Source organism: Homo sapiens, chromosome 15, assembly GCF_000001405.40.
Source record: "Homo sapiens chromosome 15, GRCh38.p14 Primary Assembly".
Lineage (NCBI taxonomy): Eukaryota > Metazoa > Chordata > Mammalia > Primates > Hominidae > Homo > Homo sapiens.
The window spans coordinates 67,964,805-67,984,034 of NC_000015.10; the positions used below are offsets into that span (position 1 = coordinate 67,964,805).

Here is a 19,230-nt window from a genome sequence, read left to right on the forward strand (position 1 = left end):
ACCCAGCCTCACTTAGAATAATGTTTTCAATGTTGTAGCATGTATCTGTACTTCATTCTTTGTTATGGCTGAATAATATTCCATTGTTTGAGTACATATTTGTTTATCTGTTTATCAGTTGATGGACGACTGAATTGTTTCCACCTTTTGGCTGTTGTGAATAATGCTGCTTGCTATGAGCATTTGTGGATGCATTTTTGCTCGAGCACCTGTTTCAATTCTTTCAGTTATATTATTTTTATTTATTTATTTCTTATTGAGACAGGGTCTCAATCCGTCACCCAGGCTGGAGTGCAATGGCATGATCTTGGCTCACTGCAACCTCAGCCTCCTGGGCTCAAGTAATCCTCCTGCCTCAGCCTCCTGAGTAGCTGGGACTACAGGCATAAACCACTATGCCTGGCTTATTTTTGTATTTTTTGCAGAAAGGGGTTTCACCATGTTGCCCAGGCTGGTCTTGTACTCCTGGGCTCAAGTGATCTGCCCTCCTCAGCTTCCCAAAGTGCTGGGATTAAAGGTGTGAGCCACCGGGTGTGGCTAATTCTTTCAGTTACATACCCAGGAGAGGAATGGCTGGATCACAGGGCAATTCTTGTTTAAGTTATTGAAGAAGTGCCAAATTGCTTTCTACAGTGGATGCACCATTTTACATTTCCACCAGCAACATATGAGGGTTCTAACTGCTCCACATCCTCAACAACACTTGTTATTTTCCTTTATAAAAAAAATTATAACCATTCTAGTGGGTGCAAAAATAGTGTCTTATTGTGTTTGTTTATTTGAATTTCCCTAATGACAATGATACTAAGCATCTTTTATGTGCTTCTTGGCCATTGTATAACTTCTTTACAGAAACGTCTATTCAAGTCCATTGCCCATTTAAAAATTGGTTGTCTTTTTGTTGTTGAGTTGTAGGAGATTTTCATATATTCTGGATACTACAAGTCCTTATCAGATATATGATTTGCAAATATTATCTTCCATTCTGTACATTGTCATTTCACTCTCTTAAAAGCATCTTTTGATGTTTTTGATTTTGATGAAATCCAATTTATCTAATTTTTTCTTTTTTTTTCCTTTTATTTATTTATTTATTTATTTATTTTTTGAGGCAGAGTCTTGCTCTGTTGCCCAGGCTGGAGTGCAATGGTGCAACTCTCGCTCACTGCAACCTCTGCCTTCTGGGTTCAAGTGATTTTCCCACCTCAGTCTCCTGAGTAGCTGGGTCTACAGGCACGCGCCACCACCCCCAGCTAATTTTTGTATTGTTAGTAGAGACAAGGTTTCACCATGTTGGCCAGGCTGGTCTTGAACTGCTGACCTCAAGTGATCTGCCCACCTCAGCCTCCCAAAGTGCTGGGATTACAGATCTGAGCCACCATGCCCAGCCTCTAATTTTTTCTTTTGTTGCTTGTGTTTTTTGTGTCATTTCTTAAGCCAATGCCAACTCTGAGGTCATGGACATTTACCTTTATATGTTCATGTAAGAGTTTTATGGTTTTAGCTCTTACATTTAGGTCTTTTGTCCATTTTGCATTAGTTTTTGTATATGGTGCAATGTAGGGTTCCAACTTCATTCTTTTGCGTGTAGATACCCAGTTTTCCCATCATAATTTGTTGAAGAGGCTCTTCTTTCCCTTTGAATGGTCATAGTAGTCTTTGAAAATCAGTTGACCATGGATGTATGAATTTATTTCTAGACTCTTAATTCTATTTCATTTATCTGTATGTCTGTCCTTATGCCAGTACATGTACCTGATGATTACTGTAGCTTTGTACGAAGTTTTGAAATCAGGAAGACTAAGTCCTCCAACTTAGTTCTTTTTCATGATTGTTTTGGCTATTCATGGTCCCTTACAATTCCGTATGAATTTTAGGATCATGTTGTCTATTTCTGCAAAAAGGCCTTTGGGATTTTGATAGAGATTGCATTGAATCTGTAGATTGCTTTGTGTAGTATTGCCATTTTAATATTAAGTCTTCAAATCCACAAACTCAGGATGTTTTTCCATTTATTTAGATCTTCTTTATTTTAACAATGTTTTCATTGTATTAGTCTCACATCTTCTTGATTAAATATATTGTTAAGTATTCTATTTTTTAAAATTGTTTAAAGTTTTTTTTGAGACAGGGTCTCATTTGCTTGAGACAGGGTCTCATTCTGTCACCCAGGCTAGAGTGCAATGGCACCATCTGGGATCACTGCAACCTCCACCTCCCAGGTTCAGGTGACCCTCCCACCTCAGCCTCCCGAGTAGCTGGGACCACTGGCATGCCCCAGCACGCCTGGCTAATTTTTGTATTTTTTTATAGAGACAGAGTTTCACCATGTTGGCCAGGTTGGTCTCAAATTCCTGGGTTCAAGCCATCCGCCTGCCTCAGCGTCCCAAAGTGCTGGGATTACAAGCATGTGCCAAGGTGCCTGGCATATTCTATTTTCCACCCCCCTACAAAGTAATAGACCTTATTTTGGGAGGGCAGTTTTAGGTTTACAGAAAAATTAAGCAGAAAGTTCCAGTATACATCTTTTAAAAAAATTTTTTTTTTGGTGATATTATACAACGAAATTGTTTTCTTAATTTTCTTTTTTGGATTGTTCATTGCCTTACATGTACAGAAATACAGCTGATTTTTGTGTGTTGATCTTGTACTCTGCAACTTTGCTGAATCCTTCTATTAGTTCTAATTGCTGTTAATATTTGACGCTTGCCCTAGTCCATATACCATCTCCCTGCCATTTAATTGTTGAAGAAACTAAGTGGCTAGGACTTGCCCAGGGTCCTGCTGCCTTTTATGGCTGAGCTTGGGACAGGCTTAGCACTTTTTCCCTTCAGAGCTCCAACTCACTCCTTAAATTGAACCCCAATTTTTCAGTGTAATTTGCAGGTACAAATTTCAGCCAGTTGCCTCTACAAAGCCCCTGTCCATTCCTTCCAAATCCCTGATCTCTTCCTATTCATTTGCCCCCATATGCCCATTATCATGAGCCCAGCGTGGACTCCCACGCGGACCCAGGCCCCCAGCCCTGGCCACAGGGTCACAGAGATAACTCCGTGGGAAATTATACCCCAGGGCCCTTTGCTCCTGACTCCCCACGTGGAGCAGAGAACCACTCAGATGCGTGCTTCCAGCCCCCACCTCGGACGACCCGCTGTCCCCCTCTCACGGCTGTTTGCCCGGGCGTTCTAGGATGCTCTGGTATTAGAGCACCCTGCCTGTTCCTGGCCCCCTGAGCACCAACAAGCCCGTCTCAGGCCTCCAAAGCTCTGCATACGTTGCCCTGGCAAGGTCAGACCCTTTGGCTGCAACACGTCCGTCAAGAAGCCAGGCAAATCTAGCATGCAAACTAGGATCATTTTCGGGCGTTGGGGCCCCCCCGCTTGAAATCTGGTTTCCATGTTCACAAAACGCAGCCCGACTGGTGGAACTCGCGACTCCAGACGCAGAGAAGCTGTGGGCAGAGGCGGAGGCAGAGGGTGGGAATGCAGCCTGGCGTTGGAGTGGGGAGAAAGGGGAGGGAGGAACCGCGCGCCCAGGCCCCGCCCGGTTGCCTAGGTGACGGGGAGCGAGAGGAAGAAGTGGGGGCTGAGCTGATCCGAGCATTTCAGATCTTAATACTGAACAGCTCAGCCCCCAAGAGGGAGTAGGATGGAAGCCCCAAGCCAAGGGAGTCATCTTCATTATTTTACCCTGGTACCTAGTGTTCTGCTGCTCATGGAGAAACAGAATGTCAGTCCTGGAAAAGAGCTTGCGAAGTCTCCTTGCCCAGTGGTTTTCAAGCAGGTTTGTAGCTAAAGATTCTCGTTTCAAAGAAAACCTTACCAAGAACCTCAGTTTGCGAAACAGACCTATAGGGAGCTAAGTCACCCCACTTCACCTTCCCAGATTGTGGAAAAACTCTGGTCTGGGCCCAAACCCTCCTTGTAGAGATGGGAAAACTGAGGTCCCCAGACAGGCACTGCATTGCCCAGGGACACCCAGGACATAAATTCGCTGCAGAACCAGGATTGGAAACGATCTCCCAGTGATCACCATAGAGCAAGCATGAAGAAGCGGATCCTTTGAAGTAGCTGGGAAGAGAAAAGGCACACAGGATGTTTTAGGAACCTGGAATTTCCAGACCTGCTGAGACAACACAATCCCCTTATTTTACAGACGAGGAAACTGAGGCCCAGAAAGGAGGCAGTGGCAAGTTAGTAGAGTGGTCCTAAGTGGAGTAATATTCCCTTAGAAAGAAGATGCATTTGAGCATTTGGCTTTTTGGCTAGCTCAAGCAATAAATCTTTGCTGAAATTCTGAGGTGCCAGATGGCGCAGGGGAGGAGCACTGGCCTGGGAGTTTCATCCCCCTCTGTTACTGACGAACCCCATGACCTTGGGAGATTTATTTTAAAGAGTCAAAGGGATCATCCCCAGGTTTGTAAGAGGTCCAGAAGAGTAATAGGATTAAATGGTGCTTCAGAGTGTTTTATATTGTTTCTAAATGTCAGGGCCTCTTTGGGGGAAGGGAAGTAAGCACACTGCTCTTTAAAGACTGAATTTGACAGTGGGTTTTTTAAACGCTCTTTATTTTTCTTTTTCATTTTTCATGGCTAATTATAAAGTAACACATGGCCATTTCAGAAAATGTGTAAAGTACAGAAAATGAAAGGAAAAAAAAGCAGAAAGGAAAATCACCCATAAACACATCACCCAGAGGCAACCATTGTTATACATTGTTGTACATTTCCTTTCAGTCTTTTTTCTCTAATTTTTTTCTTGTGCAGCGTAAATTGTATTTTTAATTATGTTGTAATTTTTAATAATTTCATTTAATTGTTTAATAATTAATATTAAACTTAGAATATTAAAGCTAAAGATCTGTCTGATCACCACCCACAGCCCTGGGTTCTTTGATGTATTAATTTTGCAGACCATTTAATTTTTTTCCCACTTATTTACACTCATTTTTCATTTATTTATACCTATTTCATTTATGTAGACCCACAGGAAATGTACAGTGTAATAATAAATGTATATATATATATTATATTGTATATGTGTTTTACACAATGGTATAATGTTTTCTCTGCAATTTGCTTTTTTCTTTTTTGCTCATTTGACACCTATATTATTCGATCTTATGTATAAGCCACTTTGTATCTACCCATTTTGTTCTTGATGAGCATATACATTGGTTCCAATTTTTTGCTACTGTGATAAATTCTACAATGAATAACCTTTGCATGTTCTTCTGCACAGGGGCTAGTGTTTCTCTGGTGGTAGATGCACGGAAGTAGAATTGCTGAATATGCATTTATTTACTTTTAATCCACACTGCCAAATTGCCCTCTAAAGCTACTGCGTATAATGAGCATCCTTGTTAGCTTATAACACTGCTTTGCTTGATTATAAGACTTCACTTTTTTAAAAAAACTTAAATTTTTTAGAATCTACTGAGTGAAAATAATTTATTTTTGTATGATTTTCCTGATTATTAGTATGATTAAGCATATTGTTTACTGGCTATTTAAAAAATTAGTTTATAGAGTTGCTTTATATATTTAGGCCACTATCTTTTTTTCTGTATCTATCACAAGCATTTTCCTCAGTCTGCTGATTATTTTTTAATCTTGTTTGCAATGTCTTTTGACATGCAGAATTTTAAATACTTAATATGGCAAAATTTATGTATTTTCCTTTATAGATTTTTGTTTTTTGTTCAAAAAGATTTGATCTACGTTTTTCACTAATAATTTTAAGTATCTATTTACTTATCTTTTTTTTAAACATTAAAACATTGACTCCATCTGGATTTATTTTGGTGTATGTATGTGATAGGAATCTAATTTTGTTGCTTTGCATATGGGTCGTTAATTGCTTTAATACCAATTATTGAATAGTCTTTTTTCCACTGATTTTGAATACCACCTCTATCATATACCAAATCCCCATATAAACGCAGATCTATTTCCTGACCCTTTACTCTTTTCCATTTATCCATTTATCTCCTTTTCTATTTTTATGCAAATACTACACTGTTTTGACTATTGATTTATAATGTATCTTAACAGCTGATGGGCAATTTACCCACTTTTTCTGTTTCATTGCCTTGGTTCTTCCTGTACATGTATTCTTCCATACGAATTCATTTATGAAGGTCTGTGAAAAGTCTTTTGAGTAATTTGATTGTTATTGCATCAAATTCATACCTAGATTTTGAGAAATGTATCTCGAATATAGCGTCTTTCTATCCAAGAATCTGACATGTTGATTTATTGGGTCTTTTAAAATGTGTTTTAGTCAAGTTTAAAATCACCTTCATAAAGATCTTTTACTAAAATTTTTCCTAAAGACTTTATAGTCTTTGTTACTATTGTTTTTTTCCAATTACATTTTCTCATAGCTTATACTTGTAAGTAGAAAGGCAATTAATTTTGGTACATTGGTACTATTAATTCTGACAGTTTGTTCATTGGTTCTTTTAGGTCTTCTAGAGAAGGCAACCAAATCTCATCTGTATATAATTAATGCTTTGCTTTGTCTTCTTCTCTTCTAATATTTATATGTCTATTTTGGAGGTAATCTTATTGCATGAAGTTGGGTATGATGAAGAAGGGGAATAGTGGGTATTCTAATCTTGCTCTTGACATTAATGAGAATACATCTAATGATGTACCTTGTTAGTAGGCTCAGTGCTGTAACAGAAAACTCCAATACCTCAATGGCCAAACACAACATACTGGATTAAGGTGGGCCCTAAATCCAATATGACTGGTGTTCTTATAAGAAAAGAGAAATTTGGACCCTGAGACAGACACACAGGGAGAATGCCATGTGATGACTGAAGCAGAGATTGGAGTGATGTGTCTATAAGCCAAGGATTGCTGGCAATCATCAGAAGACAGTAAGAGGCTAGGAAGCCACCTCCTTCAGTGAGAACATGGTGTCACCAACACTTTGATTTCAGTTCTAGCCTCCAAAACTATTAGACAATAAATGTCTATTGTGTTAAGCCACACAGTGTGTGGTAATTTGTTATGGCAGCCCTAGGGAACCAATGCAAAAGCTAAGTTAATTCATCATTAGTCTTTCTTGCTTTATAGTAAGTGCAAGTAAGTTTATATATTTCCCTGAAGACTACTTTAACGTCATCTTAAAGTAGTACTTCAGTTAATTCTAATTTTATTGTAGTTTTTTGTCAACTCATTAATTATTTAGACCTGTGTTTTAAAACTTCTCGGTGTATACAAATTTCTAGCCATCTTCCTGTTGTTGTTGACATAAAATTTTATCATTAAATGTTTTATATTATTTCACTTTACTTACTTACTTATTTTTTGAGATGGGGTCTTGCTATGTTGCTCAGGCTGGACTCAAACTCCTGGGCTCAAGCAATCATCCTACCTCCTCCTCCTAAGTAGCTGGGACTGTGCCCAGCTATATCACTTAAAAAATTTTTTTGGAACTTACTGTGCAGTTAAATACTTAGTCAATACTTAGTCAATTTTTATAAATGTTCCATTTGTATTTGTGAAGAATGTACATTTTCTATTCAAAGTTCTACATATATCCATTACATTGACAGGTCGTCTGTTCTTTGCTGTGTTAAAGACTAGCTAATTGATGAACAAACTTGTTCCCCTTCCTCCTGGGCACACAACTAGGCTACATTTCCTGGACTTTTTGCAATTAGATGTGGTCTTGTACTGAGTTTTGGCCAATGGAGCATGAGCAGAAATTATGTGTGCCACTTCCAGGCCCAGCTTACGTGTGTTTCTCCTTTCTGTCTGTCACTATGAATGCCAAGATCTCAACACACAGAGTGACCTTGGCAACTACATGTTGAAGGTGGCAGAGTTTCTATCAGCTTGAATTCCTGGCAGAGACCCTTCCTCCGTGCCCCACAACCAAACATTGAACTTTACGTGAAAAAGAAATTAACCTCGATTGTCTAAGTGTTCAGCTACTCTTAGTTAAAAGTTTATTTGCTACAGTTGCTAGTGTGACTTAAACTAATACTGTTTTGCTCTTTAGATACTCTATACTTTTTTGTCTTCTTGATTTGTCAGTGTCTGATGAATGTGTGTGAGTCTCTCAATATAAATATAGGTCTAGGCTGGGCACAGTGGCTCATGCCTGTAATCTCAGCATTTTGGGAGGCAGAGATGAGAGGATCACTTGAACCCAGGAGTTTGAGACCAGACTGGGTAACAAAGTGAGACCCCATCTTTACAAAAACTAAAAAATTAGCCAGGTGCAGTAGTCTGTGCTTGTAGTCCCATCTACTTGGGAGGCTAAGGCAGGAGGACCCCTTGAGCCCAGGAGTTCAAGGTTATAGTGAGGTATGATCATGCCACTGTACTCCAGCCTGGGTGACAGAGCAAGAATCTGTCTAAAAAAAAAAAAAAAAAAAAAAAGACCGGGCACGGTGGCTCACACCTGTAATCCCAGCACTTTGGGAGGCCGAGGTGGGTGGATCACCTCAGGTCAGGAGTTCAAGACCAGCCTGGCCAACATGGTGAAACCCCATCTCTACTAAAAATACAAAAATTATTCGGGCATGGTGGTGTGTGCCTGTAATCCCAGCTACTCAGGAGGCTGAGGCAGGATAATCGCTTGAACATGGGAGGCAGAGGTTGCAGTGAGCTGAGATTGCACCACTTTACTCCAGCCTGGGTGACAGAGTGAGACTCCATCTCAAAAAAAAAAAAAAATACACAGACACACACACACACACACACACACACACACACACACACACAGACACACACAGACACACACAGCTATATGATTCCAATTGTATACAAATTATAAATTATTTAGTAATTCATAAACTCTTGCTGTATATTTCAAAGCTATGTTGTTAGATATGTAAACTCGTGTTATAATTTTTTGGAAAAGTATTCCTTTTATCAGCATGAAAATTATTTTTGCTGATATTTGCCAGGTTTTAACCATTTTATTTATTCATGTTTTGGAAGCACCAGGGTCCACTAAGACATTTTATTTATAGGTATGTATTACACCCCTAGAAAAAGAATCCCAGGATTTTCCCTCAAATGTGTTATTGTCTTGCTTTTTCTTATGGTCCATGATGCCAGCTGAGGTTGTTAGTACAATGAATTGAAACTGGTGGGATGAAAGCAGGTTATTCTGCCGTTTTTCTAGATCTTTGAGTTGGACATTGATATGGTTTGGATGTGTGTCCCGCTCCAAATCTCATGTTGAAATGTGATCTGCAGTGTTGAAGGTGGGGCCCAGTGGGAGGTGTTTGAGTCATGGGGGCAGATGACTTAAGAATGGCTTGGTGCCCTCCTTGCCATAAGGAGTGAGTTCTGGCTCTGAGAGTTCATCGAGATGGGATTGTTTAAAGGAGTGTGGCCCCCTCCCTCCATCCCTTGCTTCCATTCTTGCCATGTGATGTGCCTGCTCCCACTTCACCTTGTGCCATGAGCGGAAGCTTCCTGAGGCCTTCACCAGAAGCAGATGCCGGTGCTATGCTTCTTGTACAGCTTGCAGAACTGTGAGCCAAAATAAATCTCTTTTCTTTATATATTACCCAGCCTCAAGTATTTCTTTATAGCAATATGAAACGGACCAACACACATCAAATCTGGGGCTGATCACTCCACACTTGTTTAACCTGCCTGTGAGGTTCACTATTTTCTCAGCTCTGTGATCATCAATGGTTTCAAATCACCAATGTAGCCATGCTTCATTATCACAGTTAGAAACTGGATGATGACTTTGGAGAACGGCCTAATAAGAACCTGGCATTTACTCCTCTTCTCAGCATTGTTGATGCTCTTGAGAGCATCAACCAGGACATTCATGTGCACCATTATGGCTGCTGGGTAGCCTCACCCTCCCAAGCTCCCAGTAAAGCCCCAGCAATGAGAAGCTGCACTGCCCACCTGGCCACAAATCCCCAGTGCTGCCTGCCCCAGGCCAAGGCACTGTCTTAGTTGCTAAGAGGAGCCAGGCACTGCAGTATAAGCCTGGGCTACCGCCTTTCTGGGCGGTTGAAAGTTCCAGCTCTCACCAGTGCTGCAGCCTGCACTTCATGGACCCGGGTCCCCAGAATGTGGAGCATGGGGTGTCTGGACATGGCTCTCCTCTATGCCTGTCTAGGGCCCTGCAAGGCCAGGATTCCTGCCCAGTGGGGCCCAGTGTCCTTGAAGAGCACTGAACCTGAGCCTTAGATTGCAGGATGGTGCCAATGACTGATGATCTTAACCATTTTGAAGTGTAAAGTTCAGTGGCATTAAATACATATGCATTGTTGCACAGCCATTACTACCATCCATTTCCAGAAAGTTTTCATCTTCCCCAACTGAAACTCTGTACCCATTGAACGCTAATTCCCCATTTTCCCCCTCCTGCCCTCCCAACTGCCATTTTACTTTTTGTCTCTATGAATTTCACTACCACATATAGATGGAATCATACAATATTTAGCCTTTGTGCCTGGCTTATTTCACTTCGCATAATGTCTTCAAGGTTCATTCATGTTGTAGCATGTGTCAGTTCTTCATTTTTTTTGCTGAATAATATTCTATTGTAACATTCTTTTCTTTAAAAAAACAACAGGTTGGGCTGGGCGCGGTGGCTCACACCTGTAATCCCAGCACTTTGGGAGGCCGAGGCAGGGGGATCACAAGGTCAGGAGTTTGAGACCAGCCTGACCAACATGGTGAAACCCCGTCTCTACTAAAAATACAAAAATTAGCCAGGCGTGGTGGTGCGTGCCTGTAATCTCAGCTACTCGGGAGGCTGAGGCAGGAGAATCACTTGACCCTGGGAGGTGGAGGTTGCAGTGAGTTGAGATCACACCACTGCACTCCAGCCTGGGCAACCGAGCGAGACTCCATCTCAAACAAAAAAAAGGTTTATTAAGATACAATTCACATACCATAAAATTCACCCTTTTAAAGTATCTAATGATGGCCAGGCACAATGGCTCACACCTGTAATCCCAGCACTTTAGGAGGCCGAGATGGGCAGATCACTTGAGCCCAGGAGTTTGAGACCCAGCAACATGGAGAAACCCCGTCTCTACCAAAAATACAAAAAAATTAGCTGGGTGTGGTGGTGTGCACCTGTAATCCCAGCTACTTGGGAGGCTGAGGTGGGAGGATTGCTTGAACCCATAAGGCAGAGGTTGCAATGAGCCTTGATTGAGCCACTGCACTCCAACCTGGATAACAGAGTGAAACCCTGTCTCAAAAAAATAAATAAAATTTAAAAATTAAGTATATATTGGGCATTTTTTCATACATTTACAGAGTTGTCCAACCATTACCACTATCTAATTTCAGGACATTTTCATCACCCCTGCAGCCATTAGCAGTCACTTCTCATTTTCCCCTCCCTCCAGGACCTGGCAATCATTAACGTATTTTCTGTCTCTGTGGATTTTCCCCTTCTGGACATTTCATGTAAATGGAATCATACACAGCTGGGCATGGTGGTGTGCACTGGTGGTCCCAGCTGAGGCAGGCAGATTCTTGGAGCCCCAGAATTTCCAGGCTGTAGAGCGTGATGATCATGCCTGTGAACAGCCACTGCACTCCAGCCTTGGCAACATGGTGAGACACTGTCTCTGAAATAAGTAAATAAATAGGGTCGTACAATATATGGCCTGTTGTGTTTAACTTGTTTTGCTTATAATATTCCCAAGGTTTACTTGTTATAGCATGTATCAGTACCTCATTCCTTTTTATTGTTGAATAATATTCCATTGTATGAGTATACCACATTTTGTATATCCATCTACCAGCCAACGGACATTTTAGTTGTTTCCAATTTTTAGCTATTATGAATAGTGCTGCTATGAACATTTGTATACAGATTTTTGTGTGAACATATGTTTTCACTTTTCTTGGGTATGTACCAGGAGTAGAATTGCTGGATTATATAGTAACTCTATGTTTAACATTTTGAGGAACCGCCAAATAGTTTTCCAAAGTGGCTGTACTATTTTACAATTCCATCAGCAATGTATGAGGGTTCCAATTTTTCCACATCCTTGCCAATACTTTTTATTGTCTATCTTTTTTATTATAGCAAGCCTGGTGGGTGTAGTGAGGTGCCTCATTGTGGTTTTTATTTGCATTTCCCTAATGACTAATGTTGAATTCTTTTCATGTGCTTATTAACATTCATTTTTAATGCACATATGCAAGTATATTTTAAAGAACTAATTGGTATCTATGTCTTCACTGTCAAAAGACAAAATTACAACAAATTTAGTTTAAACATCTTAATTGGCTTTATTCGCATTTCTAGAATCAGGCAACACTTTATTCCACAAAATAGAATAAGTATTCTGATGAGCTGAGCAGAAGAGGTTGGTTTTTATAGGCAGAGAAGAGCTGAAGAAACCAGAAACAAAGAATGAAAAGTGGACTGGTAATTTCACAAAGTTACTTTTTTTGTAAGGCAGGGACAGAGAGAAAGAATAGTGGAAAGGTAACTGATTGGTTAACTTCAGGTTACTTTTTTGGTAGGGATTAAAGTGGAGGGAACTTCATTATCAGCTGATTGTAACTGGCCTATTTGGGGAATTGGCTGTTATCTCTCTCCTCTTGTTACCAAAAGGTAACAGGTCTAGGTCCTTGGTCTAGGTCCTGCTGCTCACAGCACAGAAAGCCAATGACTGAGGCAAAAAGTGTTGCCAAGAAAGAAGGATTTAACTGAGAGCTTCAGCTGAGGAGAAAGGAGATCAGTCTCAAATCCATCTCCCTGATTGACTAAAATTAGGGGTTTATATAACAGGGAAGAAATGTAACCACAAGTGGGAAAACAGGAACTTGGGGTAAGGACACAATCATGATGAATGAGGGGCCTGTCATCTCATTGTCTGAATACTATGATCTCTTGAGTTTCATTTATTTGATACTTCTTGAGAAGCCAGGGGTTTCTTTCCTGAAGAAGGAACTAATAAAACAAATGTACGTTTCAAGCTTTAAGACCAGAAGTGTCCATTTCTATGTTTATCAAAAAAAATCTATGGGACTGTTGGGTCGGTTTCATCCTGATTTCTCAGAAGGTCCGATAACAACTTACTTTCTGTTTGGTGAGATGGAACTTTAGCATGGGTGACTCCATTTTGGTTTTTAGCCTGGCCTGTTGAGGCCTAGGGCAGGAGCTTTGTTCAAAACAATGGCCTCCCATCATTATGTTTTACCATCACCCAAACAAGGCAAAAATATTAACAGGAAGCTTAATTTCATTACCTCCACTTTTTGTGGAATGTTCCTATGCATACTCAGTATGCTAACCTCAAATTTTAGTTCCAGGTTGTTATAACTTTTCAGGAAGTTATTTAGATAAAAATAAGATTTATTCAATCATTTTAAGAAATTCACAGCTGAGTGTGGTGGCTCATGCCTATAATCTCAGCACTTTGGGAGGCTGAGGCAGGAGGATTGCTTGAGTCAGGGAGTTCAAGACCAGCCTGGACAACATGGTGAGACCCTGTTTCAACAAAAAATAAAAAATAGCTGGGCATGGTGGTGCACACCTGTGGTCCCAACTACTTGAAAGGCTCCCAGCTACACCCAGGATTGCTTGAGCCCAGGAGTTCAAGGTTGCAGTGAGCCATGTTTGTGCCACTATACTCTAGTCTGGGCCACAGAGAGAGACCTTGACTCAATAAAAGAAATTCACCTTTGGTTTTTGCATGCCACTGTTTCCTCTTGGGTTTTTTTCTTAACTAGAGTACAACATCTAATTGCTTTTCTTTTTCCCCAAAAAGGATCTGGAAGGGAAGGAGTGAGTAAATCTTCTGAGTATTTTTATGTTTGAAAATACCTGTATTTCATCCTCACATTTAAATATAATTTGGCTATAAAATAATAAACTGAAATATCCCTTACTTTAGCATTTTGAAGGTATTGAATTTATGTTGCTAAAAACATCTGATATTATTCTTTTCTAGTGGGTACATCTAATTTTTTTTTCTCTGAGCATTTAGAATTTTTTCTTTATCTTTGATGTTGTGCAGTTTCACTATGATGAGTCCAGATGTGGGTTAAAAAATTATTTTATTGGTACCTAGTGAAACCTTTCAATCTGAGAACCTACTTTTTAAAAAATACTGGAAAATCTCTAGTTATTATTTCTTTAAATGATACTTTCTCCCTGTTATCTCTGGCCTGTAATTCTAGAACTCTTATTAGATGAATATTGAATCTATTCGCTATATCTTTACCTTTTGTTTCTTTTTAAAATCCATCTCTCTTACTTCGTGTTGCATTCTGAAAGAATTCCCATACCACATCTTCCAGTTCCCTGATTCACCCTTTAACTGTGTTCATTCTGCTACTAGCCCATGTATTTTTTATTTCAATAATTATATATTTTATTACAAAATTTCTGTTTCTTGTTTACAACCAGCTATTCCTGTATCATGAATAAAATACTTTCTTATCTCTCTGATGATTTATAATCACATTTATTTTTAAGTCTAGTTCTGGTTTTCCCTATTAACTCTCTTTCTTCAGGTGTGCATTTGTCCATCTGCTGGATCTGTGATCTCTTTTTTATAGTATTGCACTCCTCATGCATTTGGTGATCCTTGACTGTGTGCATTTTTGAGTTGCAATGTCTTGTTAGGCTGACAGCTGCCTTTGGTTGAGCTGCCTGTGTATAGAGAAGAGCAAAACAGTTACTGAGCTTGTGCCTCCATACAATGTTGATAGGCAGGACCTGCTGCTAGGTGGGAAGCTCAGCAGCTGGTCTTTTAGGCTTGGATGTTTCTCATTCCTCCCAGATTTTGACAGCCACTCAATACATGACCCCTTCTCATTAATCCAAGTCCTTGCCCCCTAAACTCTTACATGCAGGGTAGGTGGAGAAATCCAAGGCTGATAGGCCTGGCTGCTCCTGCTACAGGTCCCCAGTTAATTCCCTTGTCAATTTCCCTGGAGTATCTTTTGTTCCAACTTTCTTCCATCACCTCTGGACATGGGACATCTTAGTGTTGCTCCTCCTTTTGAGGTGGTTCACTGCAGCTACTGTATCCTGGACTAGAAGAAAAAAATTTTCCTTTTGCTATAAAGCATATTATTAGGACAATAATGAGTTTATGTCTGTGGATTAAGTAATGGTGATATGGTGTCATATCATCATTAATTTCCTGATTTTGATTATTTTCAGGTTTAAAAAAATCTCTATTTTTAGAAAAAACACATTAAAATATTCAGGGATAAACAAACCAGAACACACACACACACACACATACATATTTTTATGCCATTAAAAACTCTTCCATAAACATCCATTGTAAGGCCTGCCTAAGACTCCACTGGCTGGGTACATTATAAATTGCTTAATTATGACCTTCATTTTGCCATTTCTATTATTTCTCATTTGTCTCTATGACAAGTAATCCTGAAATGAACACTCATATTTAATACTTTGTCTACATTTCAGATTTTCTTCCTTTGAATAAATCCATAGAAATGTTAACTACTGCCTAGGGGTATGAACATTTTAAGATTCTTGGGCCAGGTGTGGTGGCTCACACCTGTAATCCTAACACATTGGGAGGCCTAGGAGGGAGGATTGCTTAAGCCCAGGAATCCGAGACAGGCCTGGGCAACATGATGACACCTCACCTCCACAAAAAATACAAAAACTAGCCAGGTTTGGTGGTGTATGCCTGTGGTCCCAGCTACTCAGGAGGCTGAGGTAGTCGGACTGGTTGAGCCCAGGAGGTTGAGGCTGCAGTGAGCTGTCATCACACCACTGCATTCAAGCCTGGGTGACAGAGTGAGATTTGTCTCAAAAAAAAAAAAAAAAAAAAAATCCTTAATACATACTTGATTAATGTGAATTGGAATAACTCAATCATGTTCGTGCATATTCTCATTCATTTCATTTAAAAGTTTTGCTAATTTGAGGAGGAAAAGGGAAATTATATTTCATGTGGTTTTAATTGGCATTTCCTTTATCCCTAGAGGGGGTGATTTTTTTTCTCTTAAGGTAGTGGATTTTGTAAGTGTCTGCTCCTGGTTCCTGAGGGGATTTGTGACAGTCACATATTCCTCTCAGGGTTGGGAACAGCAAAGCTGTTTGTAACTTCTAAGAAGTAATACATGGTGATTATCATACTAGAACATGCAGTCAAATCACTTGTGACATATCCATATTACAGCACAAGATTAAATCGACAATTTATTTAGACTCCTAGAATGAGAAAACACAATGTCCCCAGGGAAGGATAAAGAGTGGGTGACAGAAGGAGGTAATTTCTTTGCCTGCTTGTTTACCTACTCCCCTCTTTTCTTCCTCCCATCTCTCTTCCTTATATTATATGCATATATAATATATTGTATATAGATATACATCTAATGTGTACATTCTCATATATATTATAATTATAATGGAATTATAAATAGTCCACGATAATATAATATATGCATGACGTTTCCAGGCATCAAGAAGATTTACAGCTATAAAGCCAGCTGTCTTTCCTCTGGGGCATATACTGTAGTGAAGGCAAGAAGACACATGCCTCAGGATTGCAATGCAAGGGGGCTAAGCTTGGCTTCAGCACCTTTACAAGCATTCTCACCTTACCTACCAACCTGAGCTCCACCTTTTCTCTGAAACCCTCCTTGCTTTTCTTGCTCAGCCCCTTGCTGTGCCTGGAATTCCCTTATCTTATTACCTCTCATCTAACCTAATCATCCTTCAAGGGCTGCTCAGATGCCACCTCCTCCAGGAAGCCTTCTCTGATCCCCCACTCTTAGATGCAAGGCTGTCTCTTTCTGCACGCTCCACCTCTCCAATGGGCTTGGCACTTTAAACTTGGCATTGTGGCTGTTGCTGTACTTGTCTTGTGTCCTCAATTAGTTCTAAACTCCTAGAGGGCAGGACCTGATCTGATGCAGCTCTGTATCCCCATGTTACATACCTCAGCTCCTAGCATAGAAAAGGCAAACTGTAAATCTTCTGATAAAGGAGAGAATGAACACATCTATACAGTGTCCTTCAATTTCACAGTTTTCCCACATTATCTGCAATGTGTGCCTTGTGTGTACCAAATGGGTAAATGTTAAATGAGCACCCCTCGGTGACTGCACAGAGGTTGGTCCATGGGCAAGTTCCCAAAATGAAAGCAGGAACTGGGCATGTGAGTGTAGAATGGGCACAGGACTGGGAATCAGGAAGGTGCCGGGTTTCTACCCCAGCTCGGCCTCTACCCAGCTGTGTGACCTTGGAAGTTCATTGCCTCCCCTCTAGGCTTTGGTCTACCCATCTGTAGAATGGGACTTGGGGGTGACCTCCAATGCAAGGGTCTTTCCTTCTTACACATTCACCCTTCTAGCACAGAGTGTGTGTCAACTGCCCTGGCAGCCCCTGAAGGCTCAGTATTCAGAAAAGAGAAAGTAGCTGGGAGATACCAGGGCTGACATGTGCTCTCTGTTTTCTAGAAGGCTATGGAGCTTCCATAAAGATATATTTCATGTGAAACCTTTCCCCTTTTAGATTTCATAAGTTATTTTATTTACATACACTTATATACATGTGGCCTGTCTTAAAAAGTTATCATGAATGAAAGGCAACCCTCAGGCACAGCCCAGAAGATTAACTGTCAAAATGTAAAGATGAGTTCATTTTCTATGGAAAAAAATGTAAATGCATAAGAAAGGACAGAGAAGTTTCCACACCTAACTAATAATAATGGTCTCCTTTGGGGAGGTGGGGAGGAAACTGAGGTTAGGGGCTCCAAAAAAACTTTAGTTTTATCAACATTCAATTTTTTAAGGAGGATATGCATATAATTTTATGATTAAAAATTAAATAATGAATAAGTTAAAAGGCCCAAGTGGTATTTAATGCTGCACTAATATAATTTTGAGTCTTGATACCTGTAAGGGTATTTATCTTTATTTTTATTTCCCCAGTTCCCTCTCTCTCTCTCTCCTGTCTAAATGTGAGGATTGGAAATCATTTCTAGCAAGAAGAGCTTGATTAAATAAAGGTGCTTGATATGGTTTGAGTCTGTGTCCCTACCTAAATCTCACGCCAAATTATAATCCCCAGTGTTGGAGGTGGGGCCTGGTAGGAGGTGTGACTGGACCATGGGGGTGGGTTTCCCATTTGGTGCTGTTCTTGTGATAGTGAGTTATAAGATCTGTTTTTTGTTGTTGTTGTTTGTTTGTTTATTTGACACAGGGTCTCACTCTGTCGCCCAGGCTGGAGTGCAGTGGCACGATCTTGGCTCACTGCAACATCCACCTCCCGGGTTCAAGTGATTCTCATGCCTCAGCTTCCCAAGTAGCTGGATTACAGGCGTGCGCCACCACACCCAGCTAATTTTTGTGTTTTCAGAAGAGATGGGGTCTTGCCATGTTGGCCAGGTTGGTCTCGAACTCCTGGCCTCAAGTGATCCCAAAGTGCTGCAATTAGAGGCATGAGTCATCATGCCCGGCCAAGATCTGGTTGTTTAAAAGTGTGTAGCATCTCTACCGTCTTTTTCTTTCTCCTGCTCCAGCCATGTAAGATGTGCCTGCTTCTCCTTCACCTTCCCTTATCATTGTAAGTTTCCTGAGGCCTCCCAAGCCATGCTTTCTGTACAGCCTGTGGAACCATGAGTCAATTAAACCTCTTTTCTTTATGAATTACCCAATTTCAGGTATCCCTTTATAGCAGCACGAGAATGGACTAATACACTGCTTTAATTTACAAGAACACTTTGCAAGAATTAGGACTCCTATCTCCTAAGATTATATATTTGCATGGAAAAGAAGCAGGTTGCTTGAAGAAAAGAATCAAGAATCAAAACTTTGCAATGAAGGATAAACTTGAAGTAAGAATAATAAAATAAAGAATGTGGCTGGGCACAGTGGCTCACACCTGTAATCCCAGCACTTTGGGAGGCCGAGGTGGGCGGATCACAAGGTCAGGAGATCGAGACCATCCTGGCTACCATGGTGAAACCCCGCCTCTACTAAAAATACAAAAACAAAATTAGCCAGGCGTGGTGGCAGGTGCCTGTGGTCCCAGCTACTTGGGAGTCTGAGGTGGGAGAATGGCGTAAACCTGGGAGGTGGAGCTTGCAGTGAGCCAAGATCGCACCACTGCACTCCAATTCCAGCCTGGGCAACAGAGCGAGGCTCCATCTCAAAAAAAAAAAAAAAAAAAAAAAAAAAAATGCAGTTCAGGAAGAGGAGGTTGCAGACATACTTACAGAAGAGGTACCATGTTTTCTGGGACTGGGCATCAAGCCTGCTTC

The 19,230-nt window shown here is 40.5% G+C and overlaps 1 pseudogene, besides 1 other annotated feature; it reads right to left on the minus strand.

The window, feature by feature from the left end:
* Positions 3,689–4,605: an enhancer, noted in NCBI's record as "H3K4me1 hESC enhancer chr15:68260831-68261747 (GRCh37/hg19 assembly coordinates)". NCBI's record gives its function as "activates a minimal SCP1, AML or CMV promoter by ChIP-STARR-seq in primed H9 embryonic stem cells {active_cell/tissue: H9 hESC(primed)}" and the evidence as "EXISTENCE:reporter gene assay evidence [ECO:0000049][PMID:30033119]".
* Positions 8,954–9,832, minus strand: LOC100286942 (ribosomal protein S15a pseudogene; annotated as a pseudogene).